This window comes from Homo sapiens, chromosome 11 (genome assembly GCF_000001405.40).
Source record: "Homo sapiens chromosome 11, GRCh38.p14 Primary Assembly".
Lineage (NCBI taxonomy): Eukaryota > Metazoa > Chordata > Mammalia > Primates > Hominidae > Homo > Homo sapiens.
In genome coordinates, this window is record NC_000011.10 from 111,310,029 (window position 1) to 111,337,899 (window position 27,871).

At 43.3% G+C, this 27,871-nt stretch overlaps 2 long non-coding RNA genes across 2 annotated transcripts; both read left to right on the forward strand.

The window, feature by feature from the left end:
* On the forward strand, positions 10,354-13,046 carry LOC105369491 (uncharacterized). Its single transcript, XR_948011.3, has 2 exons — positions 10,354-11,022; positions 12,047-13,046. It is a non-coding gene; the product is annotated as an uncharacterized LOC105369491 (long non-coding RNA).
* Positions 13,047-22,948: 9,902 nt separating this feature from the next.
* LOC124902755 (uncharacterized) lies at positions 22,949-23,767 on the forward strand. The gene is made up of 2 exons (XR_007062890.1): positions 22,949-23,098; positions 23,201-23,767. It is a non-coding gene; the product is annotated as an uncharacterized LOC124902755 (long non-coding RNA).
* Positions 23,768-27,871: the final 4,104 nt, after the last annotated feature.

Below are 27,871 nucleotides of genomic sequence, written 5' to 3' on the forward strand. Positions count from 1 at the left end.
GCAAAGCCCTGTTCCTTCCTCTCCAGGGCTGGGAAGTTTGAGCCACCATTCGTGAAAGACCATTCAGGAACCCATGGCATCATTAAATGCCAACTTCCTCATATACACAAAGGTGTGTCCCAAAAACAATTCAGTCAGACCTCGCCAAAAGGGCCGGATTGTCCATAGGACACAGAGATGCCAGGCACAAGAGCTACCAGATTATAGGTCCTATACTCTGGGGACTCAGGAAGAAACTGACTCACCACCACTTCAGTGTGTTTCTTCCTACCAGGAAACAAATATGCTTTGGAAATGTCACCATCTGACCACCCTCCCTGGGGACTCAACTAAGGCTTGGGCAAATAGAACAAGTTGCAGCCTGCCCCATGGGATAATCGTGCCAGGGAAACAGAACAATTGCTGCCTTTCTGAGATGCCAGTAAAACTAGATTTTTAATGGCTTGAAACTAGCCTCTTGTCAGCAAGTATCTATTCACACAGACCAAAGACCCTTCATACTGTTCACCCACCACCTCACCCCCAGCAAGTGTTCCCAAGATATAGAGAGCAGAGAATCCAAAGCTGTCTAGTGGTTGGCACCAATATACCCCTTTTCTAGATGCCATTCTTTTTTTATTCCCCATGTCAGTCCTGTGGCACCTGAATCAATTCTCTTGCAGCTTAAACAGAGAGCATTTTTCTACCTCCTTAGGACTTACTCTTTCCTCGCACGCTCCTAGTTTTTCCCTAAATCTAGTGCAGAAAAGGATTCATAGAGGAATGTGAGACAAGGGTGAGCACAGCTCCTGTGCATCACGATGTGTAACTCCACCTTAAAACCGTCATTAAGAACTTGCTAGAAATTTGGGCCAATGGGTAACCTGGTGCATTCCTAAGTGGGTGGACACTGCCCACTCAGTCTCTCAGGTGCTGCAGCTCACACAGAACACCTCAGGAGCCCTGTAGCCTCAGGCAGCACATCCATCAGCAGCACGTCTCATCAATATATACTGTGGCATCTGGTAAAACCCGGGTGCTTACACCTCTGTGTGAGAAAGAGCAATTCAATAAATCCAGGGTGGGGCCCAGGCATCTGCATGTTCTAAATGTACCTAAGTTGATACTTTCTGTTTTTTGTTTATCGTGTGTAAATGTATGTGTGTGTGCGTGTGTGTGTGTGTGTGTGTGTATGATGGAGTCTCACTCAGTCACCCAGGCTGGAGTGCAGTGGCCCAGTCTCAGCTCATTGCAACCTCCACCTCCTGGGTTGAAGCAATTCTCCTGCCTCAGCCTCCCCAGTAACTGGGATTACAGGTGCATGCCACCACGCCTGGCTAATGTTTGTATTTTTAGTAGAGGCGGGGTTTCACCATGTTGGCCAGGCTGGTCTCGAACTCCCGACCTCAGATGATCCACCTGCCTCGGCCTCCCAAAGTGCTGGGATTACAGGCATGAGCCACCACGCCCGGCCTAAATATACCTAAGTTGATTCTGATAGAGATGATCTTCTGTTTACACTTGAAAAACACTGACATAGTCAATGTCCAGATTGTTTACTTGAAGAACCAGCAGCACAATAATAATAGCTTTACATGGATTAAGCTTTTTCTATGGTCCGGTGCTGTGCAGATTATCTCACTTAATCCTCAAAAAAAAATCACACAAAATATGTGTTATTGTCGTCCTCATTTTTATAGATGATGAAGCTGAAGTTTGGAGAGATATGATAACTTGCTCAATATCACAGCACTGATATACCAGGAAAAGAGTTCTCTAACACAGGTGATCCGATGTTACTGCCTGAATTTCCAATGGCCTCAGTATACTTTCCATGCATTATACACGGAAGAATAATCTTCTCTGGAATTTTATCTTTTGCCTTAAATGTCACAGGTATATCTACAACCAGTTCCTCATACCACAAATGCATTTGATAACATTATAAATGGAAGTTTACATGAAGGAATATATTTTGTTATTCAGAACCATTATGGAAATCAATAATCCACAAAATGTGAATTTAGTGCTTGCCATATGCAAGACTGATTACATGTTACATGCCTTCAAAATGCAAAGGCAAAGGTTAAAAGGGGATGTGATTTTAAAAATTTAAAATTATGAGGATTTCAGGCAGGATGGGCATGGACAGATTTTAAAATTCTTAGAAAAGTTTAGTTAGGAGTCAACTCTTGAAGCTCGAGAGAGAGGAGACAAAGCTGAAGGTAGTAAACATTTGGAAACTATTATCTCAAGAAATTTCCAGAGCATGACATCTTGGCAGCTGGCCTAAACCAGCAGGTGAACACTTGGGAGCAAGGTATAGACAGATAAGGATAACTGAAATGATGGAGTCAGGGAGGGGAGGCTACCTATGGATAAAAAATGCTTTTAAAAATCACTCTTTACTCTAGAAAGATGAAGACTGAAAAGGGTTAGGATCAAAGCTAGTGAAATTGTGAATAATTAGGTGAAAGTAAACATGAACTTACCATTCTTTCCAAATCCTCGCAACCTACGTAACTAACCCCATAGCAACTCACTGGTGAGGCTTTTCTGAGAAGCCCCCCTCATGGCTCCCTCCTCCTCCTACAAGTGACAGTATGGAGATGCCCTGCTAATAGCATTATTTGGTCAATGGGGTATCTCAGAGCCCTGGGGGCTAGATTTCGGGGTGGCCAGAGGGTGGCCATCCAGGGCCAGGTGGCTCTGTGCTTTAAGGCAGAGTAATTGACCTCATTTTTTATGCTTCTATAGGCCTCTGGGAAAGATGTAGAGGCTGGAAGATGAACAAACCTGAGACAACACAGCTTTGCAGGTAATAAAGCACCAAACTCAGTGAATACAGGAACCTGTGTCCATTAGGTCATACTTCAGAAAAGTTTCTTTTGCTTAATATGGATAGAGAACATACAGTTGTTATTTGAGAAATATGGAAGCATGTGTGTGTGTATGTGTGCGTGTGTGATCTTTTTCATTCTTTTTCAGACAAACAAATGCTGAGAGAATTCACCACTACCAAGCCAGCACTACAAGAACTGCCAAAAGGAGTTCTAAATCTTGAAACAAATCCTGGAAACACACCAAAACAGAACATCTTTAAAGCATAAATCTCACAGGACCTATAAAACAAAAATACAATTAAAAAAATCAAGGTATACAGGCAACAAAATCACAATAAATGGAATGGTACTTCACATCTCAATACTAACATTGAATGTAAATGGCTTAAATGCTCCACTTAAAAGATACAGAATCACAGAATGGATAAGAATTCACCAACCAACTATCTGCTGCCTTCAAGAGACTCACCTAACACATAAGAACTCACATAAACTTAAGGAAAAGGGGCGGAAAAAACATTCCATGCAAATGGACACCAAAAGTGAGCAGCAGTAGCTATTCTTAAAACAGACAAAACAAATTTTAAAGCAACAGTAGTTAAAAAAAAAGACCAAGAGGGACATTATATAACGAAAACAGATCTTGTCCAACAGGAAAATATCACAATCCTAAATATATATACACCTAATACTGGAGCTCCCAAATGTATAAAACAATTACTAATAGACCTAAGAAATGAGATAGACAGCAACACAATAATAGTGGCACTTCAATACTCCACTTACAGCACTAGGCAGGTCATTAAGACAGAAAGTCAACAAGGAAAAAATGGATTTAAACTATACCCTGAAAAAATGGACTTAACAGACATTTACAGAACATTCTACCCAACAACTGCATAATATACATTCTATTCAACAGTGAGTAGAACTTTCTCCAAGATAGACCATATGATAGGCCACAAAACAAGCCTCAATAAATTTTTTTCTTTTTTAATTTTTTTATTATACTTTAAGTTCTAGGGTACATGTGCACAACGTGCAGGTTTGTTACATGTGTATACATGTGCCATGTTGGTGTGCTGCACCCATTAACTTGTCATTTACATTAGGTATATCTCCTAATGCTATCCTTCCCCCCTCCCCCCACCCCACAACAGGCCCTGGTGTGTGATGTTCCCCTTCCTGTGTCCAAGTGTTCTCATTGTTCAATTCCCACCTATAAGTGAGAACATGCGGTGTTTGGTTTTTTGTCCTTGCGATAGTTTGCTGAGAATAATGGTTTTCAGCTTCATCCATGTCCCTACAAAGGACATGAACTCATCCTTTTTTATGGCTGCATAGTATTCCATGGTGTATATGTGCCACATTTTCTTAATCCAGTCCATCATTGTTGGACATTTGGGTTGGTTCCAAGTCCTTGCTATTGTGAGTAGTGCCGCAATAAATTTAAGAAAGTTTAAATTATATCAAGGATTCTCTCAGACCACAGTGGAATAAAACTGGAAAGCAACTTCAAAAAGAACCTTCAAAACCATGCAAATGCATGGAAATTAAACAACCTGATCCTGAATGATTATTAGGTCAAAAATGAAATCGAGATGGAAATTTAAAAATTCTTTGAACTAAACAACAATAGTGACAAAACCTATCAAAACCTCTGGGATACAGCAAAGGCAGTGCTAAGAGGAAAGTTCATAACCCTAAACACCTAAATCAAAAAGTCTGAGAGAGCACAAAAAATCTAAGGTCACACCTCAAGGAACTAGAGAAACAAGAACAAATCAAACCCAAACCCAGCAGAAGAAAGAAGATAACCAAGATCAGAGCAGAACTAAACGAAATTGAAACAAAAAAAAATACAAAAGATAAATGAAACAAAAAGCTGGTTCTTTGAAAAGACAAAATTAATAGATCATTAGCAAGATTAACCAAGAAAAGAAGAGAGAAAATCCAAATAAGTTCAATTAGAAACGAAGCAGGAAATATTACAACCGACACCACAGAAATACAAAACATCATTCAAGGCTACTATGAACACCTTCATGCACATAAACTAGAAAACCTAGAGGAGATGGATAAATTCCTGGAAATATACAACCTTCCTAGCTTAAATCAGGAAGAATAAGATACCTTGAGCAGACCAATAGCAAGCAGCGAGACTGAAACGGAAATTTAAAAATTACCAACAAAAAAATGTCCAGGACCAGAAGGATTCACAGCAGAATTCTACCAGACATTCAAAGAAGAATTGGGAGCAATCCTATTGACACTATTCCACAAGATAGAGAAAGAGGGAACCTTCCCTAAATCATTCTGTGAAACCAGTATTGCCCTAATACCAAAACCAGCAAAGGACATAACCATAAAAGAAAACTACAGACCAATATCCCTGATGAACACAGATGCTAAAATCTTTAACTAAATACTAGCTAACCGAATCTAACTACGTATTGAAAAGATAATCCACCATGATCAAGTGGGTTTCATACCAGGGATGCAGGGATGGTTTCAACATATGCAAGTCAAAAAATGTGATACACCATATAAACAGAATCAAAAACAAAATCACACGATTATCTCAATAGATGCAGAAAAAGCATTTGACAAAATCCACCATTGTTTTATGACTAAAACTCTCAGCAAAATCGGCATACAAGGGATATACCTCAATGTAATAAAAGCCATCTATGACAAACCCACAGCCAACATAATACTGCATGGGGAAAACTTGAAAGCATTCCCTCTGAGAACTGGAACAAGACAAGGATGCCCACTCTCATCACTCCTTTTCAACATAGTGCTGGAAGTCCTGGCCAGAGCAATCAGACAAGAGAAAGAAATAAATGGCATCCAAATCAGTGAAGAGGAAGTCAAACTGTTGCCGTTTGTTGGTGATATGATTGTTTACTTAGAAAACCCTAAAGACTCCTCCAGAAAGCTCCTAGAACTGATAAAAGAATTCAGCAAAGTTTCTGAATACAAAATTAATGTATACAAATCAGTAGCTCTTCTATACACCAACAGCGACCAAGCTGAGAAACAAATCAAGAACTCAATACCTTTTACAATAGCTGCAAAAATAAAATAAAATACTTAGGAATATACCTAACCAAGGAGGTGAAAGACCTCTGCAAGGAAAACTACAAAACTCTATGGAAATAAATCATAGATGACACAAACAAATGGAAACATCTCATGCTCATGGATGGGTAGAATCAATATTGTGAAAATGATCATACTGCAAAAGCAATCTACAAATTCAATGCAATTCCCATGAAAATAACATCACCATTCTTCACAGACTTAGAAAAAACAACCCCAAAATTCCTATGGAACCAAAAAAAGAGCCCACATAGCCAAAGTAAGACTAAGCAAAAAGAACAAATCTGGAATCATCACATTAACTGATTTCAAACTATACTATGAGGCCATAGTCACCAAAACAGCATGGTACTGGTATAAAAATAGGCACATAGACCAATGAAACAGAATAGAGAACCCAGAAATAAACCCAAATACTGCCAACTGATCTTCAACGAGGCAAACAAAAACATAAAGTGGAGAAAGGACATCCTATTCAACAAATTGTTCTGGGATAATTGGCAAGCCACATGTAGGTGACTAAAACTGGTTCCTCATCTCTCACCTTTTACAAAAGTCAACTCTAGATTGATCAAGGACTTAAATCCAAGACCTGAAATGATAAAAATTCCAGAAGATAACATTGGAAAGCCCCTTCTAGACATTGGCTTGAGAATAGACAATTATCAAAAGAAGATATACAAATGGCCAACAAACATAAGAAAATATGCTCAACATCACTAATGATCAGGGAAATGCAAATCAAAACCACAATGTGATACCACCTTACTCCTGCAAGAATGGTCATAATCAAAAAATCAAAAAAAATAGATGTTGGCACGGATGTGGTGAACAAGGAACACTTACATGCTGCTGATGGGAATGTAAACTAGTATAACCACTATGGAAAACAGTGTGGAGATTCCTTAAAGAACTAAAAGTAGAACTATCATTTTATCCAGCAATCCCACCTCTGGGTATCTACCAAGAGAAAAAGAACTCATTATACAAAAAAGATACTTGCATACAAAATGTTTACAGCAGCACAAATCTCAATTGCAAAAATGTGGAACCAACCCAAATGCCCATCAATCAACAAGTGGATAAAGAAACTGTGGTATATATATATATATATATATATATATATATATATATATATATACCACATCATATATATATATGATGAAATAATACTCAGCCATAAAAAGTAATGAACTAATGGCATTCTCAGCGACCTGGATGAGATTGGAGGCTACTATTCTAAGTGAAGTAACTCAGGAATGGAAAACCAAACAGAGTATGTTCTCACTCATAAGTGGGAGCTAAGCTATGAGGATGCAAAGTCATAAGAGTAACACAATGGACTTTGAGGACTCGGGGAAAGGATGGGAAGAGGGTGAGGTATAAAAGACTACAAATTGGGTGCAGTGTATACTGCTCGGGTGATAGGTACGCCAAAATCTCACAAATCACCCCTGAAGAACTTATACATGTAACCAAACACCACCTGTTCCCCAATAACCTATGGAAACAAAAAAAAATTTTTAAAAGAAAATAAAAGTTTATTTTGCTTAATATGGATAGAGAACATACAATTGTTATTTGAGAAATATGAAACAGAGAGAGAGAGTGTGTGTTTGTGTGTGTGTGTGTGTGTGTTCCACTAGTTACCACCTGGATAATCAGGAAGAAAGAGGAGACATCGGCCCCCTAACCTGTCACAATTGGACCTGGAATGCTAAAGCGGACCTGGAATGCTAAAGCTTACCTGGGACAGTCCTAGTGAAGCCACCACTTTCCCTCCTCCATTGTGTAATTCTTGGTTGATTATCTCAGATTTTGAGAGTATTTCCTCTGTGGGTTACTGAAGTTCTAGGATTATCCTGATGAAAGAAAAGGGGTGAATCCTGGAAAGGGATCAATTTGGGGATAGACATCACTTTCCCTAAAGGGGGATGGGGTAAAGAATTTCACTATTGCTGTACAAAGAAAGGAGTTCTCTGAAAGGAGGACTCATCAGAGGACATGGAACTGAATGAGGAATTGGAGTGCATCCTCAAATGGGCTCCCTGTGATTCTGGTATACCATAAGGCTTTCAGTGAAAGTATAGAGAATAAAGTGAAGAAACTGCAAAGGGCAGCATGGCCTGCCCAGTTCCTCCCTCTCTGCTGAGAATCATGTGGAGCTGGTAGCATCTTATTGCAGGGAGTTGCAATCAAGGGATCATAGGAAGTGATTGTCAGCCAGTGAGGGGTGGGTGGCTCATGGAGAAGGTCAGAGTCATGGCAAAGGGCATCCGTTGAGAAGATGCAGCTCCAGGACACAGGTAGAGGACAACAACGCTTGGGAGTGAAAGAGGCTAGAGCTTGGGTCACTCAAAGAAGGAGTAACTTTAGGACAAATTCAAGAAAGTTTTTATACAGCAGGTAATAAACTTAACATCTTACCCCTGCACACTGAACATGTAAATAGTTTCAAGAAGGGTTTAGATAAATTTAAGTGATAATATTTTAGGGCTGGAAAGGGATCTGGAGATCACCTACTTCAGTAGTTCTCAACCATGGCTGCACATTGCAATCACCTGAGGAGGTTTTAAAAAACATTGACGTCCAAGTCCCAGACTAATGAATCACAACCTTTGGGGTGGAACTTGGGCATTAGGATTTTTTTTAACTTTTTATTTTAAAATTGTAGGAAGTTGCAAAAATCATACATACAGTCTCATGTACCCTTCACCTAACTTCCCCCAGTGGTGATTATCATCTTAAATATAAATAAGACGATATCAAATTCAGGAAGTTGACATTGGTACAATGCTATTAACTAGACTACAGATTATTCGTCTTTCACCATTTTTTACATGCATGCATTTATGTGTTGTAAGGGTATGTGTCTCTATGCAATAAAAATTAGTATTTTTCACAAACTCTCCAGAAGATCCTAATTCACAGTAAAGGTTGAGAACTAGGGATCTAGTCCAGCCAATCCTCAGTTCACAGGTGAGGAAACTGAGTCCAGAATGGCAAAGTGACCTGCCCAAGCACACAATCATCTTTTGGAGGGAAGGCAGTGGACTTTCTTAGTCCAGTGTTCTTTGCTATGCATTAAGTTACCTCTGCTCCTTTATGGGTTACAGGTCACTAATGTGCTACTTAAGAAGAGCTGATTTCTTGGGGGCAGGGTCAGGAGGTAGAAGGGCAGTGTGCCAATTTTTTAGGTTGCCTTAATTAAAAGACAAACACAAAAACACAACTTTTGGTAGTTCTTCTAACGTTATAAGGTTATTGAATGACATTTCTAAAATAAATTCATAAAAAACATGGGCCCTGGTCAATAGTAAGCACCCTCCTTCCCAACTCCCACAACAATATTCATTAGTATTATTAGAGAATTCTGGCCTAGAGGGATCACGGGTTGGGCATCCTGTCGAAATTATTTTATTCTTTGGCTTTCTCCCACTGTGGCTCCTTTTATTTGCTCCACGTTGCAAAGGGACTTCTAGCAGCTGAGGTCAGCCTCCTGATCGTCACTCCACAGAATGAGGAGCCACGGTCAAGCTTGTTAATATGACCTCCTGCCATGCTGGTCCTGGGAATATTCCTCCCTCTCCACTGGCAGCATGCAGCCAGGCAAGTGCGAGAACTGACTTACTCTCTGTGGGACTTAATGTCTTCATCTGATATGCTTTCCTGGCCTGAACAAGACACAGAAATGTTTCTTCCTTCTACAACAGCCCTCTGTTGAAAGCAGCACATCCAGGGAAGTATGTCAAAGGACTCAATGGCTCCAGCCCAAGCTCTTCTCAGCCTAAATACTTCACCTGTCTCTAGAAATCCTTCTGTCAGAGGTGTTTGAACCAGAGCAACTCCATCTTGAATAGGAGCTAGGTAAAATAAGGCTGAGACCTACTGGGCTGCATTCCCAGCCGGTCAGGCATTCTAAGTCACAGGATGAGATAGGAGGTCAGCACAAGATACAGGTCATAAAGACCTTGCTGATAAAACAGCTTGCAGTAAAGAAGCCAGCCAACTAACATGGTGAAACCCCATGTCTACTAAAAACACACACACAAAAAAAAAATTTTGCCGGACGTGGTGGCAGGCACTTGTGGTCCCATCTACTTGGGAGGCTGAGGCAGGAGAATGCCGTGAACCCGTGAGCCGAGATCCCGCCACTGCACTCCAGCCTGGGCAAGAGAGCGAAGACTCCATCTCCAAGAAAAAAAAAAAGGAAAGAAACCGGCCAAAATCCACTAAAACCAAGAGAATGACCTCTGGTCATCCTCACTGCTACACTCCCACCAGTGCCATGACAGTTTACAAATGCCATGACAACGTCAGGAAGTTACCCTATATGGTCTAAAAAGGGGAGGCATGAATAATCCACCCCTTGTTTAGCATATCATCAAGAAATAACCATATAAATGGGCAACCAATAGCCCTCGGGGCTGCTCTGTCTATGGAGTAGCCATTCTTTTATTCGAATACTTTACTCTCCTAACAAACTTGCTTTCATTTTACTCTACAGACTCACCCTGAATTCTTTCTTGCACTTGCTCTAAGAACCCTCTCTTGGGGTCTGGATCCGGACCGCTTTCTGCTAACACTTCTACATACCACGTTTATTTGAGACAGAAAAATACAGCAAGGACATCCATCTAAACTTTGTCTGGAGTCTGGGCCCAGGGGAGCTGCAGTACATGGAGGGTCTCTGGAAGTGGGTATGGCAGATTAGCGCCTAAGCTCAACTGGCTTTCCTCCTCTGCCTCTGTTCCTGGGACTTGCTCACGGCTCACAAGGTAGCTTCCCACTGTCAGTCCATCAGCAACAGCCAGTTAGAGTCGATTGGGTGTGAGAAGCGAGACTATTCATAAGCAGCCTGTCCCCTGTGCCACTGGCTTATTAAGCAGAGCTAGGCATAGACAGCTGGGAACTCTGGGCAGCTCCTTTAAATTTCTCTTTGAAGAATGTTAAGTATTCACCAGCAGTGAAGGTTACAAAGGCTGAAGTTTTCTCTCCACCCCCAGCATTTCCCAGGGGAGTAAAAGGAAGGATCAAAGCTACAATGGGCTTGGCTGCCCTTCTCCAGGAATGGCCAGAGGACAACTTCTGCTTGGTGAGCAGCCATTTATGCCACCCCGGTGCTGGCAGGTCACCTCTCCTGGGCTGGGGAGCAGGAGTTCAATGATTAACTAGAGGAGGCCATCTCTGGAGGACAGAAAGAGTCTTCTGATCTGGTTAGCCATGCAGACCTGAGCCTGGATTTTCCTTCCCACTCCACTTCAAGAGAGGGGTGGGTTCATTTCCACAGTTCTCCTTCCTGCAGCAGGAAGGGAGAGTAGAAACCCAACTTCCCAGACACCAACTCCATTTCCACACAAAGCAGTAGAGCCCAGACCTAAGGGTTCTGGAGCCACACAGACCTGGTTTGAGTCCTGGTTCCATCACTTATCTGTTCTGGGACATTGGGCAAGTGCCTTAACCTTCCCGGGCTACAACTTAGTGGCGGAAATCAGTGGAGTAAAACCTCATTCAGAAAATTTTTTCAAAACTGATGTCATCCTGGGAACAACTTGCAGAATGCTATTTTTCTTGCACTGAGCAAAAAGAGGTTAGTTACACTAGGTGTCATCCCGGGGAATCAGGTCTCATCACAGGGCCCACACCATCTGAGACCTTTTCAGATCCTCTAAGATGCTGAGACAAGAAGCCATCTGGTCTTGGAGGGAATGGAGATGGTAAGAGCATTGTCAATGACATGGAAGTCTGAGAAGTGTCCTATTCATGCCTTTGGAAAAGACTTCTCTGCCTGTCTGGTTTTTATGCTCTCCCCACACTTTAGGAGAAAATAATGGTTTTGCTGACTTCATCTGGTCACCTCTGCAAATGCCCCCAACCCCTGTTATTTTGTGTCTGCTGTGTACCAGATTCTCTGCTAGACTGCCTACATGCACTATCTCATTTCATCTCCATAACCAAACCAATGGAGTAGGTATTATTATCCCATTTTATACATGAGAAAACTAAGATTCAGATAGATTGAGTCAACTGCCCAAGGCAGTAAGTTAGAGCACCATAATTCAAACCTAACTCCGTGTAATTCCACAGCCTATTCCATAGCCTGTGTTTTCTTCCCCTAGGAAAGTTCCTGGATACTTCTGGAACAGAATTCTCCTGGGGTGAGTGGTTCACACAACTGACCCACTTCATCCCCACTCAGCAAAATGAGAGCGCCGTTGACTGACAACAAAATGCTGAACTGGAAACCTCCGCAGTAAAACGTGATGCAGAACAGAGAAAGAACTAAGATGTTCTGCACAGACGGTATCATGCCCTCTATGAGGAAACTACTCGAGCATATCTGTGTTTCAAATGATGTCTTTGAACTATTTATGTTAAATGCCCCCCCAAAAAAATGGAAAGGCTTCTTCGTAGAGGAAAGAGCTTGAAGTTGCTAGGCTGTTCTGCCTTCAACAGGCATTTATTGTGCAGCTACAAAATGCTGCACCAAGCACTGGGCAGTGGAAAGGTGATTCAGACACAGTTCCTTTGACAAAACCTCAAAATCCCATGTGAAGTTCTCTTTTATAAAGTAAATCAGAAAAGATTCAAAAGTTGAGGTACCAAAAAAAAATAATATAAATGCAAGTAGTAAAGCGCTATTGACTGTAAATAGAAGCACTTAATAAGTGGTTGTTGTTTCTGTTCTTCTCTCTAATAAGTGTATACAGGTGGCTAAATGCTTTTGTTGAGCTATGAGTACCTCATTCTGTGGAGTGACTCAGAAAGTCTCTAGGTGTTAGACTGGAAACAGGTGATGTTCAGTGCACGCAATGCTTGAAGTGTTCCCAGGTATTTAGTTTCAGGTAAATTTTACTGTTTAAAAAAATTGTTTTTACTTGCTATTAAGTGTGTTGACCTTGGATAATTTACTTAACCTCTCTATGCCTTGCTTCCTTTTCTGCAAAATGAGAGTAAGAAAAGTGCTTACCTCATTGGCTTTTTGTGAAATTCAATGAGTTAACACGTGGGAGAAAAGATGTTTTTAAATAATCAATTCTTAGCAGTTGGTCATTGTTATGAGTTACATCATGCGTAGTTAAATATTTTTTAAAAAATTAAAATTTATTTTCCTATAGGAAAAAGGAGGGACTGAATTGTGAATCCATTTTCTCTGCTTTCAGTTATTTCTACTCCTGAGAAAAACCCTAAGCACTTAGGGTCTAGAACCACATCCCGAGACGGTGAGCTCTTCCCACATTTTCACATGTGCCTGAATCATTTGTAGGTCTCGTTCAAGCAGAGAATCTCCGGGATTCTCACTCGGGAGGTCTGGGGTCGGGCCTGAGTCCTTGCATTTCTAACAAACTCCCAGTTGATGCTGGTGCCACTGGTTCTGAATTAAGATGCTTGTTTACCTAGTGACAGCAACAAAAATTGTAGCAATGGTATCCAGAAATAAACAGCATACTTTTATAGGGCTAGTCAAATGAACCCAAACATACAAAATAAAGGCAAACCTCACAATCTTCTTGCAATGATTTATTACTCTGAGAGCTCATTTTAGGTGAGATTGTCTCCCTCCGGAGCCTGATTCCTAAAAGCTTTCTATGACTTTGAAATTATCGTTTTCCTTTTGGAGGTAGCACAATATAAGAGCTAAGAAGAGAATGAGAACTGGAGTCCCTCCCAGGTTTGCCCCTCTAGGTATGTAAGCTAAGGTAAACTACTTAGCCTTTCTTAAGCCTCAGTTTTCTCATTACAAATGGGCATATACGGAACATTGGCTTGCCTCCTACAGTTGTTTGAGGACTCAATGAAAATGTACGTGAAGCTGGTTGCGGTGAGCTGAGATTGTGCCACTGCACTCCAGCCTTGTGACACAGCGAGACTCCGTCTCAAAAAAATAAATAAATAAATAAATAAAAATAAAAGACTGGTTGCGGTTGCTCATGCCTGTAATTCCAGCACTTTGGGAGGCTGAGGTGGGCGGATCACAAGGTCAAGAAATCAAGACCATCTTGGCTAACATGGTGAAACCACATCTCTACTAAAACTACAAAAATTAGCTGGGCATGGTAGCACATGCCTGTAGTCCCAGCTACTCGGGAGGGCTGAGGCAGGAGAATCGCTTGAACCAGGGAGGCAGAGGGTGCAGTGAGCCGAAATCATGCCACTGCACTCCAGCCTTGTGACAGAGTGAGACTCCATCTCAAAAAAAAAAAAAAAAAAAAGAAAAAGAAAAAAGAAAATGTACGTGAAGCAGTTATCCTGGTGCCGGTGCCTGGTACGTATCAAGGGCACCAGAACATTAGCTATTTAACCTTAAGGTTTCAAATCCACCCTTCTCTGGAGACTTCTTGTTCCCTACTCTCATGCATCTCTGCATCATGGTCATAACCCATAGCAACGAAAAGCCAAGGTTTCACTCTTTGAAATCTGGATAATGGTATTTGTCTGCAATAATATCCTAGGAGTAGAGCTAGAGAATTTGTTTTGGGTTTTGTTTGTTTTTGTTCATTTTTCAGACACGGTGAGTCAGAAACGTAAGGCTCAGAGATATTTTTAGTTTTTCCAGCCACTAAGAATTCTTGTTGCCTGCAGGGAAATAAAGAAATGCAGAGAAGGGGGAGTGCTAGACTTGCCTGCTTGCTATCCAAAACCACTTCTTTCCTTTGAAAAAGGGTCTGTGCAGCCAAAACAAGCAGCGCTAACGCTGGGCTGAGAGTAGGCACCAGCCATCCAGGAAAGAGACAAGGCAACCATCAGCTACAAAAGCTGCTTCAACAGCAGACAGCTCAAAGAATCAAAAAATGCATCCCAGGAGGGCTGGGTGAGGAAAGACAGTGATCTTGCCTTGGTATTTGCAGCAAAGTCACAGACCAGGAAGGTCAAATCCTCGCTGAGAACCATGTGGACAAATGTCCAGGACATGGTCGCTGGCCTCAGGGAGCCCACAATTTTATTGAAGAAGCAAGATTGTCAGAAGTAAGGACCAAAACTCGTGTATACAGAGAAAGGAGAAAGATTGAGAGGAAAGAAGAGGAGAATCAAGGAGGCAGAGATTAAAAGAAGGAAGGGATAGAAAAGAAAAGAAAAAGAAAGAGGGAAGGAGAGAAGGGGAAAAGTACGGACTCCGTTTCGTGACTACATCACAAGCATTGATGAAAAGAAGAGAAATCTGTGAAAACGAGAAAGCAGGCACTGTATGTTGCATCCTGACACACAGTGAGTTGTTACACTTTAAAAGCCACAAAGAAGAGACGCTCACCCAGAGACAGACTTGATGGATTTGGCAGCTTATCATACTGGGAAGGGCAGAATTGGGTTATGCTATGTTTTCAATGGGTCCCCTCCAAAAGTCAGCCAATGTGATAGTATTAAGAGATGAGGCCTTTAAGAGGTGATTAGGCCATGAGAGCTCCTTCCTCGGGCTTGGAATTAAGTGTCCTTATACAGAGGTTTGGCACAAGGAGTTGGCCCCCACTTGCCCTTCCGTGTTCAGCCATGAGGACACAGTGTTCCTTCTCTCTGGAGGATGCAGCGTGAGGGCGCCATCTTGGAAGCACAGAGCAGCCATCACCAGACACCAAACCTGCTGGTGCCTTGATCTTCCCAGCCTCCAGAACTGTGAGAAATTTCTGTTCTTTACAAATTGCCTAGTCTCGGGAATTCTGTTATAGCAGAACAAAAGGACTAAGATAAGTTACCTTTTCTTAAAGGAAAACTTTGATAAATATTCTTTGTCCTCTATTCCTTTCACCTATACCCCATGAAGCTGGGAGGATAAGGGGAGTAAGAGGAGGAGCTGAAACTAAGAGGTCAGCAGACCCTAAGCCCTAGTCGGAAGCCTCCAAAACTGTCAATCAAACCACTGTGTCTCCAGCCCTGGGCCTGACTCAGGAAACCATCACCTGCCTCTTCTCCAGCCTCTTCTCTCCATCCTTGCTTGTGAAGTAGTCATGGAATACTCTCCATACTCTTTTTCCCCCCTTTCCTTCCCTCTTTTTCTTTTGTTTTTTCTCCCTTCCTTCCTTTATCCTCCTCTGCCTCCTTGATTTTCCTCTTCATCTTTCTTCTCAACCTTTCTCCTTTCTTTTTATACCCTAGTTTTATTCCTTACCTCTGACAATCTTGCTTCTTTGACAAAACATTAAACTGAGATCTCAGACTGGCATGCAACCTGATTAGTAGAAACTTGCTCTTCCTGGCCTAGTGCAGTTCATCATGCAGCCTCTCTTCCTCTTCCCCTGGCACCTCACAGCAGTCAGCATCCACGTGCTCCTGCTAACAAGTGCAAGGCCAAATGAAGAAAACACTAAGAATGCATTCACAAAAGTGACAGCATCTCCTCTAGCCACTTTGAATTTTCCCCTCATTTACTGAGGAAAATAAAATTCCTATTTGATCTACAGGTCTGCCACCTCTAAGGAGTCGTTCCATTTTCTGAAACCCAGAATTAACCAGAACTACAATCCCCACTGTCACCCAATTTTGTGTTGTGTTCAGAGATGTTGGCTGGTCAGCCAGGTTTTTGAGAATAAAGCTGACTTCAGGTTGAAATAGTCAAAATCAAAACCTTGGGCCCTTTGGACAATTCCCTAGGGACTCTTCATAAAGCCCAATAAAGGTCTCCATAGAAACACCTTGCAGCCCATTTATGAGCTTTTTTAGCAATAGCTGTCCAGAAAACTTTTACACCCCCCTGAAATAGTCAATCTACCCCATCTGCTCCATGACAACAGAAAAATGGTGCCTCATATCACTAGCCAGCATCTCGTAACACATCAGGGTTTTGGCCTGAGATTGTTCTCTGAGATACACTATGCAAATATCCAGCTGGTATCACCAGACAACAGGAATTTAGTTGGGAAAGGCACAAGGATTGGGAAGTCTGAGGACGGGCTCAAGGTCTCCAACTGGACAGCCAGCTCAGGACTCCTTTGTCAGGGTCCCTGGGGACCTGGCTGAGGTTTTCAACAGGTAGGGCTTGATCCTAGTGCAACACCTTGTTCTTACCCTGGGTCTCTTAGATGAGTGATCTTGGCCAAATCACTTAAGTGATCTCAGATTGTTTGCTCATCATGATAATAATCGTAATATTGCCAACCTCACACGGCTGTTGCGAGTGCCCAGAGAAAGAAAAGGTAAAGGAATGTGGCCCTCCTCACATGAGAAAGGAGACTAACAGAAATTAAGGAGCTTGCCCAAGTTCACACAGGAGGCAAGCTGTGGTTTAAATCTAAGTGTATCTGACACATATTGTGTTCTGTTTCTACTAAGCTCTAGATATAAGATAAAAAATATTATGCTTATTTGCATATTGTTATGCATAATGTCCAAATGTATGCTTCATTTGCACATATGATTGCTACTGTCTCTCATCTGGGATGTAGTTCCCAGCTGGGTAATACATTTGAGCTAAACTCTCCTCAAGCCCAGCTTCAGCCCAGCAGAGAATTTTTAGGGGCGAAGTCTCATCACAACACATAGCCCTTCTGAGCAATCAGGTGAAGCATAGAGTTCCAAAAAGCCCAAACTTCACTCAAATTTCCTCTCGTAGCTCAGGATGGGAAGCTGGGGCTCTTCCAAGGGTAAGCAAGCCAGGTATCATGGCAGCTTCACACCACATTTTTGTATTCATTCTTGACCACTCCCCACCATCCCCAACCCTGCTGCCTGTGCCCTTTTCTAAAGCTCAAGACTCTCAATATTCCAGAAACAGCTAATACCATTAAAAATAGTAATTAATTTTGTGGAACACCTACCAAGGTAAGTCAGCCTCTTTATGATATTTAATATTCAACATGAAACTAAAAGTAGGGGTTTTTTAACCATTCCCATTTTATGGTCAAGGAAATGGAGGCCTGGAGAGATGAGGTGGCCCACCCAGGGTCATACAACTAAGAAAGGTAGAACAGGATTCAAATCTAGGTCCTCTTACACCAGACCCAGTGCCTGTCCCAGGGTGCCGTCAGTCCCATTGCTGCTGGAGGGCAGCATGAGTAGCACACCATCCTGCCAGCCGCCCTCTAGCCAGGGCAGACTCTCAAAATGCAAAACTTGCCAGACAGGCAGGAATGCAAATGCACACACAGCCTGAAGTAGATCTGCCCTGACAGAAGTCACCCAGGTGGCCACTTGGCCATGGAATGTGCCCAGCTTGATAAGAAGGCAAATGCCTGGCGTCTTGCAGGGCCAGGGTGCATATCAGGTTTCATTTCTGGGCTGTGGCAAGACAGAAGCCGTATGTGGTCTTTGCCTGCCAGGACTGGCTGGCCCTGATGCCCACGGCCTGCCAGGCATGACAAGCCCAGCAGTCTTCCCTAACGGGGCCTTCTCTTGCCCCAAGCAACAGTCCTAATGTCTTCCAAGTTGGGCACAGTTCCACAGCCCCATAAAGCTGCAAGCCAAGGAATGCAGCTCCCTTTTACTTCTGCCTTTCTGAACTCTACCCTTCTTTCAAGGTCAGCTCAAGCCTGCCCCCCACATTACAGGTTAGGTTCAAATGCCAATTCTAGCTGTATGGCCTTGGATGACTCATTTAACATCTCTTAGCGCCCTTTTGTGAATAAAATGGGCGTAAAAATGTCCACTCCCCAGGGCTATGGTAAGGATTGAGAGGCCCAGTGAAACTTCGCACATAGTATATGCACAGTAAATGGTAGGCAGCCCCCACTTCTCATAGTGACCTCTCTTCCCTGCATTTCAGTTTCTCTTATCACCCGCCTAATTCAACTTAGCATTTTATTAAACACTGACTCACATCTGTTTAGCTCATCATTTTCCATTCATGTGTAAGTCTCGTCTTTCTCTGATCTTCTTAGAACCAAGAACCAGGCTGTTCTTTCTCTCATTTCGCCATGGACCACTAAGCACAGTTTGGAATCGTCACATGACTTATCAGTTGCTGCTGGTGGGTTGGAGCTCCTAAGTATATTGATAATACAGATTGAATATCCTTAATCCAAAAATCCAAAATCCAAAGTTCTCCAAAATCTGAAACGTTTTTAAGCACCAACATGATAATCAAAGAAAATGCTCATTATCACATTTCAAATTTCAGATTTTTGGATTAGGGATGCTCAAAAGGTAAGTATAATGCAAATGCTCCAAAATCTGAAAAAATCTGAAATTTAGAACATGGCTTATCCCAGGTATTTTGGATAAAGGATATTCAACATGTACTACTAAACATTCTGTAAGAGTTTTTAAGTGTTATATTGCTGTTCTGTGTGATTTACATAATTATGTTTTTAATCCTGGCAAAGTGAAATAGGTGCTGTTTTTATATCCATCCTAGAAGTAACCAAGTCTTAGGGTGGTGAATTAAAGTGTCCCTAGTCACAAGGACTGAAAATGGAAAAAGTCCGAATTTAAATCCACATTACTTCAACTCTAAAGATCATGCTTTTAACCATTATCTTAATCCCAGTAATGTAGTCAGGGCCATTCCCCTATTGGAACAGAGCGTCCCACAAAAAAAGAAAAGCACACAAAAAGTTAGAGAAAAAAAGGAAAGTTAGACAAGGAAACACCAAAACAAGCCCCAGGGAAGGCCCAGAGTTGGCTGGCAGCTTCGTCTTTGATCTAAGACTGACCCAACCATCACCCAAGCAACAGCCCCCGGTTTATTCCTGCTAAACACACTCACAGAAAACATGTCATATTCAAAAGCAGGAAAATAAAATTTCTTCTTAGAGTGTTCTTAAATGTTACCCTCTTCAACACCACAGCCTAGAAAGACCACCAGATGAGAGAGACCTAAATGATTTCTATAGGAAAAAAAATCAACTTGCTTCTGAGTTATCTGCTTCATGGCAGGAACTACCAAGAAAGTGCTGGCTTCAGAGTGCTAATTCCACCTGTCTGTTACACCTCAAATTAAAACCATTTGCATATTGCTAGAGGGCTTTGAGATTTAGAAATCATGTGCCGTAACTTGAAAGCCAAAAAAAATCTATCAAAGCAAGCCAGGACTCGTTCCCAGGAGATATAACTGAAATTTACAAGAATCTACCCCAGTGGTTCTGGGTACTTTCCTAGCAGAGACTGTTGCTGCCTTCTGGGTCTCAGCCCAGTCTGGCCTCTCCTCTCAAGGCTACTTGGAAGGGGAACCTGGCTAGGCTTCGTCAGTCACTCCAGCTCCAAGCATGGGGCCAGCTCCAGGGTGCTTTGGGTCCTTCCTGATGCTTTTAGACTCAAGGAAGACAAAGTAGATGATCAGAGAAGGTGGCCTCAGAACCAATGTCTTAATCAGACAAGGAGCAATTCCAAAGAGAGGTAAAAAAAGAAGAGGAGCTCCTGTTCTATGCCAAGCCTTTTGACAAATGTGGGCACCTTTAACTGAACCACCCACAAGCTCTGAGACCAGTATTATTATCCTCATTTTACAGATGAAGAAACTGAGGTGTAGAGAGGTAAAGTGATTTGACCAGGGTCATCAGGTTAGTAAATGGAGTCAGGGTTTGAGCCCAGGTTGACTGGGCCAGAGTTCACTTCATGACACTTGGCTGCTTTCCCTCAGTACATCACATTCAGGCCTGAGCAGAAGCATTGCCTGCAAAGACCTCAGCCTGGCAGCTCAATTGCTTTATCCAGGGTCTGAGGACAGATGAGACCATAACTGGGGCAGAGGACCAGGTCTGAAGGCCTCAGGGATCACCGTCTTCCATGCCCTTATGATGATGCCTGGTATCTGCCAGCCCAGACAGGGGCTGGGCATATTCCAAGGTCACAGTCCAGGACAAAGTGCACACTTAGAAAGGCCTCTGAAGCCACCTGTCCCCTGGCTCCCTGCAGGCTGCAGGAACCTGAACTTGAAAGGTCAGCCCTGGGCCCTGTTATCTCTCTCCAGGCTCCTAAGCCTGTTTAGGTCTTGGCCCCTGTCTGGTCTGGAGACAACACAGAGGAATGCAGGTGGCCGCCCAGCTTCCCCACCACCACCACCAGCCTTCCCCATCACAAACACATACAGCACAGGCTCCTTTACTAAAAATCCATCCCTCTGTGGTAGGGAGAGATCTGAGTCTATTAAGTAATAGTAACCAGGACTCTCCATGGCCATGTGCCTCCATTTTAAAAACAGAAGAGAGCAGGCAGAAGGGAATGAACCAGTGTTGTCAACTTTTTCCCAGGCACCAGTCGTGAATATTTTATCCTTCCCAAGGACTCAGTAAAATATAGGTATGGTCATAGTAGCCCCATTTTACAAAGGCTGTTCACTATAGTGGTTCAGGGCATAGGCTCTGAAGAAAAGATTACTCGGGTTCAAATTTTGGCACCTCTTCTTACTGCTATGTGCCTTTGAGCAAGGAACTTCACCCCTATGTGCCTCAGTTTCCACACTCATCAGATCTTCCCTGACCCCTCCTCCTGCCCCTCCCTCCCCCTCACCTCTGCTCTCTTTCTCTCCCTCTCCCTCTTCTTCTCCCTTCCCTCCTCTTTCTATGGCCCCATGCTTAGGCCTGCCTCCTGGGACAAGTCTCCAAAGCACTCTGCCATCAAAACTTACCTTTCTTGGTGTCCCGTTCTCTTACTGCCATTCTTAGAATTCCCATCTTACAGACCCCTTGTCAGGAAAGCAGACCTGATGAGCTCCAAGAAGCCAAGAAGAGGCTGTTTTGCTTCCCCTCCTGGGTAACTTTTGCGCTGGGTTTCAGCAGGGTTTACAAGCTGGAGGAAGAGGGATTAGGCCGTGGGCAATCCTTTGACACAGTGGAGTTGGGCATGGAGAGGGATGGAAGTGGGGAGATTGTGGTTTTAAGAAGCCGTGGACAAGGCTCACCATGAACATTTCCAAGAAGCAGGCCTGGAAGACAGGGGCCCCATTGCTTCCTCTTAAGCCAAAGATTGCCAACAGTGCCCTCATCTACCAGGCCCAGGAGAAGACCACGACTCCTCAGGAGAGATGGGCTCAGCCCTGGTACTTGGGGACTATAAATGCTCTCAGGATTACCTTTGCTTGGATTTTCACAAGGGCCTTTGCCTCCCCGGCCAACCTCTGTCCCACAATCAGAGTTGGCACTTGGAGCAGGGCATCCTTCACAGGTCTGTCTGGTACTTGTTGCTTCCCATTATGGTCAGGGAGGGGCCCTCTCCTGCTAAGAGACCATGGGTTAATTCTGGAGTCTTATATATCAGTCTCTTAACCTTCCCAACAAAACTGCCTGAGCCACAGAGAAACATGGACACTTGCCCAAGGCTGTGCTGCAAATAGATTTGAACTCAGATTCACCTCCAGGAACCATCATCCACTTCTATTAATTATGAGCAGTAAATTAGATAGTAACAAAGTAATGCAGCTGAAATGTAATTAGCCCATTGTCTGGAACACTTTCAGTGCTCCATAAGCATTAGCTTTTCTTATAGATATAATTATCATCCAGTTTTTACAAAGTACTGAGACTTTGAGAGCTTCCGCAATTTTCTCAAGATTACTCATACCAAGTCAAAGTCAGAGCCAAGATGACTATGCCATGCTGATAGCAGGAAAATAAACGTACCAGATGAAAGCATTATTCCTTTCCTGGCATTGCCTTAATGGCCTAAAACCCTGTGCATTTGCCACACAGAATGTTAAAGGGGTTCGGGTTTAAAAGTTAGAGTAGTTCAAAGGCAAAAACATAAAAAGAATTTCTTGTGAATTTATAATTTTCATAAAAAGGTAATGAATATCCATGCTGTCCATGTATTCTGCCTCCCGTAGGCTGGACTGAAGATAACTCAAGGTCAATGTCATGGCTTGTGGCTTATCGTTCTGCTCTGAATTTGGCTGGGTATCAAAGCCCTGTCATCCAAACCTCCCTCCAGAGGATAACACCTGAGTCTATCCCAGGTGTAGGCTTGCTGTCCCTAAAGATTTTCCAGGGAAGACAGCCCAACCCTTCCCTGTCTTCATTTTCTCCCCGCCTAGCTAATGATTGTTGTTGTCAAGTGCTTTGTATGAACATGGCCATATGCTATAAGCTGCTCAAAAATCATCTCAACTAATCCTCACAATGGCCCTCTGAGTTATTGAGATTGTGGTCTCTATTTTGCAGGTGTAAACACTGAGGCCCATAGAGGTCATCACCTGCCCAACTGGACAGCTGTGAAGCCACAGCTCACACCACTTGCTGCATCCTCCTGCAATTTCAGCACACTTTCTCTTGTGCTGCTCTCCCTGGAAAGACAGTGCTTTTCCCCAACACGTATGTAACAATTCTTACAAAGCTATTGATTAGTGAAGCCACTTTAGAGGATCATTTGTCAATGTCTATAAAAATTAAAAATTTGCATACTCTATCACACAGCAATTCCACCGGCATCGCCCTAGAAAAATACTCACAAAGAACACGGGGAGCTATGTCTAAGGATCTTCAATGAAGTATTGTTATAATGGACATTTAGTTACAACTTAAATGTTCACCAACTGGGTGAACATTTCCACTGACTGGGGAATGACCAGAAACAGAAAACAGAGAACTATGCTGTATAACCATCACATGAAATTCTGGGCAGCGGTAGAAAGGAATGAATGAATCTGCTCATGCTTACATGAAAAGAGACATATTGTGAAGTGAAGGAAGTTTCAGAATGAAGTTTACAAGTATGATTCCACATGTTACAGAACAACAAGAGATGTGGGTGTTTTGTATGCAGACATATACATGTATGTAAACGTATAGGAAAAGGTCTGAAATTACGCAAGCCAAACTGATAACAAAATTACCCATTGAGAAGGGGAAAGTGGTAGAAAAGAGAGAATGCTGATCAAGGGGATTCTAGCCTTATCTGAGCTGTTTGAATTGTTTCACAAGAATAATGTATTCATGTGTTACTTGTGTGCTTATAATAAATCTAAAATAAGTTTGTCCTAATTCTTTACAGTAGAGAAATGGTGGCATTTGGTGATCAAGGATGCAGTGTGGACTCAGACAGGCCTTAGCTTCCATCCCAGCTTGGCTACTCGAGAGCTGTGTGACTGTACATAAGCTACTTAAACTTTCTGTATCTCTTTAGCCTCTTCTATAGAATGAAGTTGATGACAATACCTCAGAAGATGTAGTGAGGAATTAAATGAGGTAATGCCTAAAGCTCTTATCCCTATGCCTAGAGCATAATAAGCAATCGGTCATTATTGGGAGCTTTCATTGCTCCCAAAGTCCTGTGAGGAACTGTGATTTGGGTGACTGTGCTGGAGGAGATCTGTCAGGAAGTACTAAATAGTCCAATCCACCTCCAGGACTTCTATCAGGGGATATCAAGAGCTCATTCCTGCCCAGCACCCTATACACACACCCAAGGGGAGAAATGGGAGGGCAAGTGACATCCAGGAGGAAAGCTGGGTGGGAACCAAGGACGATGTGCTTGTGTGTTGAGGTCAGAGGATGCTATGGAGTAGGCCACAGAAGCCAGGACTCAGCTGCTCAGGGTCCACCATCCTGTCACCAGTGCAGCAGAGCCCAGGAATCCCCTCAGATCTGAGGGCAGATCAGCCCTAGGGAAACCAAATCCCTAGGATGAGTCATTGGGAAATAGAAAGGGGCAAGACCCCGGCTTGGCTGAGCCTGCTGAGCGCTGGCTGAGCAGAGAAGGTAGACAGAGCAGCAGGGGCAATAAGAAAGGGCCTGGGAACATCCAATTCAGAAAACGGGGGTTTTTCCCAAAGAGTAAGGGCTAGAGCTCCCACCTTTGTCCCTTACAGCCAAGCACAGACACAAAGCACCAGCATTGCTGTGAAAGATGCAGGAGCCTGGGAGGTGCTATCCAGCATGGCATATTCATCCAAATTCCTGGGATTGACTGTGGGATAAATAACTATGTCATGTTGCCCTTACAGCACGGGCCAGGGGCCTAACACTTTCCTTGGCACTCCTCCAGAGTCTGCAAACACAGGCCTGAGTGCTGCCTTTACAGAGCCGAATCCTGTGCATCTTGATTAAATATTGACAATAGCTCTACCTGCCTTATCTTGATCCAGTGGAAACCCAGTCCCCGGGGAGCTGTGCAGGGCAGGATTTACCTCCCACACCAGAGCCACAGATGTCCTCCTGAACCAGCTCAGCAAACACACTGCTCTGAGGCACAAAATCCGCATCTGTGCTCCTCAGCAAAATACGTTTTATGACTAGTTAGACCCTAAAATAAAAGTCTTCTTTAGTCATCTGGGTTTGGGTTGGGAGGTGATATTCCTGTGGAACTTAATAAATCAATCATTAACTTTCTGCCAGTGGGCTAACTTGTAAGTGGGAAAGTAGGGACTGGGAGTGGGTAGAAGGCTGGATCATCAGGCTTCCCGGTGTCTGAGGCTGCCGACAAAATCCAAGCCTATCAGCCCAGAGATCAGTGGGGCCAGCCCAGAGGTCAGAGGGAGTCTAAGAGTCCCAGGCCTCTAGCAAAAGACAGGCTTGAAGTGAAGTTACAAAGGGGCAAAGGTTATCCTCAGCTTCCAGCTGGTGCCTTTGGACCTTTCAGTGACATCCAGGACCTGGGCCTCTTCGCTGTGCTTTCCCTGAGAGCATTCCAGATCCCTGAATATTCAAGGGAAAACACAGTGAATGGGTTTAGGATGGTCAAGACTCCTGTCCTCCCTTCCTCTAAAGGGGCAGGATTGGAATAGGAGTTTCTCCCTGGAGATGCGGCGAGGAGTCCCTATATCCTAGGCTGCCTTATTAACAGAGAGCTTCGAGATCTTCTTCACAAAGAGGGCTTCTCATGGTAGAGAGCACTCCAGCTAAGGAGGGGCAAATGTTCAGAAAGGTGATGAGCTTTGGCCCTTTTAACTCCCTCTGCAGGCATAAGCCAAGGTTTCTGCTGCACCTGGCAAAGAAGTGAATCAGATCAGAAGCACAAATGCACGGAACTGAGTTTTCTGCCTGGACAGTGTCCTAAGACTCTCTGGCAAGATCTCTGGTTTAACGACTTCCTGTACTTTCTTCATCATTTCGCCAGACAGCAGATCTCCTGAGGGCATGGGGATCCCTATGTAAGTGGAAACCCTGATCACCCCCAGTGGAATTCCAGAGTTTAGAAAGGTGGCGGCCACATCTCCCTAGAACACAGTAGACAGTTTTCTGTTCAGGGGAGAGCACATTGGCATCAAATCCCGCAGGCTTCATAGAGAAATCCCTAAGAAAGCAGGTTTTCCTCCTCATTGTCATCACAGCCACCCATCATGCAAAACATCAGGTCCTAGGCTGAGTGCTTTGCATGCACGTTCCCATTTAATCTTCATCATAATCTCTTAAGGACCCATCTTATAAATGGGGAAACTGGGGCAGACGGGTACCAAGCAACTTGTCCTTGGTCACAGATCTACTAAGTGATAGAACCAGACTTTGAAGCTAGATCTGTCTGACCTCATAGGTCATGCTCACCATAACCAGTCACAGACTCCGAGCCAGAACGCTGAGGTTGCTATAGGAGGGAATAACTTAATATCTGCTAAATACTTTCAACAGTGCTTAACACATAGTAAGCCCTATATAAGTGCTTATTAAATAATTAGAGGCTTTGTAGGACAACAGAAGTTGACTTTGCACACCTGTGTGGCTGGGATAAACCCTATGAAAATGAATACAATGGGGCAAGACTGAAGAGCCCCTCAGCCCTTTGTGCCTTACTCCTGACCTTACTCCTAACCCTATCTGTTGAGAAGGTGGTGATAGTCACCTCTAGCATAATTCTCACCCCAACATAGGAAGTTCTGTATGGACTTTTGCTGTCTGTCCCCTGGGCTGGAGGATCTGCAAGAGCTCCCAAGAGTGATCTGCAAGGGCTCCCAGGAGTGGCCCAGCCAAACCCCTTAGTCTCAGAGGCTAACACAGCTGGAGCTCATTTGCATTGGAATTGCAGGGCACTGCATCATCCAGGAGATAAGTCTGCATTATGCAAGTTACTTGTGCCAATTCTCCAGAAATTACTGAGCCACAGGGGGATTGCCTAACTGCTTAACCCTTTCCATCCAACTATAGAGCAAAAATAGACACCACTGGTCAATGCAAAGAGTCTTCCCCAGACGTGACAACTTGATGAGCAGAGAATGACCACTCAGGACTGGTGTGACCAGTGCACACCTCTCCCAGCAGGTTTGTTCTTGCCCCACAGGGTCTAAAACCCAGCCCCTCCCTATACACACCTTCTAAAGGGGAGTGAGTTGCCTCCTGGGGATGCTCAAGGTTCACTGGAAGGGGAAGGATTTCTTCAACAGGCTTTGGGAGTTCAGAGTCATTTACTCTGGCCATATTGGGTTGGCGGGTAGCTCTCAGATAAAGTGGTATTTGAACTGGTCATTAGATGTGAGTCAATGAGGAGAAAAAGGGCATGTCAAAAACATAGGAGCAGAAGATCACAGCTTATCTTAGGAACAGCAGATTGCAGAAGCGTAGATTATAGCATTGGACTAGGTGGCAAATGAAAGCAAAATACAATTTTGTTAGATAAATCACCATAATGAAGCTAAGAATATCTAATAAAATCACAAGTGCATGCCTATGAGTTATGAAACTCACCATTTGAACAAAAAACAAACAAATTAATTAAAAACTACTGTTCATATTTTCTAGACAGAATATCTTCTAGTGGGCATTGGAGATTTAAAAACAAGAGGTGAGGTTGCCACAAATACAAACTCATAATGGGTATTTGCATAGCTGAGCTCCTGGGTCCAGCTGGAACAGCCAAGCCTGGGGGAACCCACAGCCTGGCCACTTAGGACATAGATTGCCAGATGAGTAGCAAGGAAGGGCTCCTGCAAGGAAAGTCAGTTTCTCCATCTGACTGGCACCTCAAGACATCAACTTCTCTTGTGGCTCCCCTAAGAAGGAGTCATGGAATCTTAGGGTAGGTAGCCCAGCAGACATCATCTTATCCTGCTCTCTGCCTCTAGGCAAAACTATAATACATACAACATAATGAAGGTAATTGGATGATGGTCATTATGTGTGTATGTTGTGACAGTGACATTTACAGCCCAGCACCTC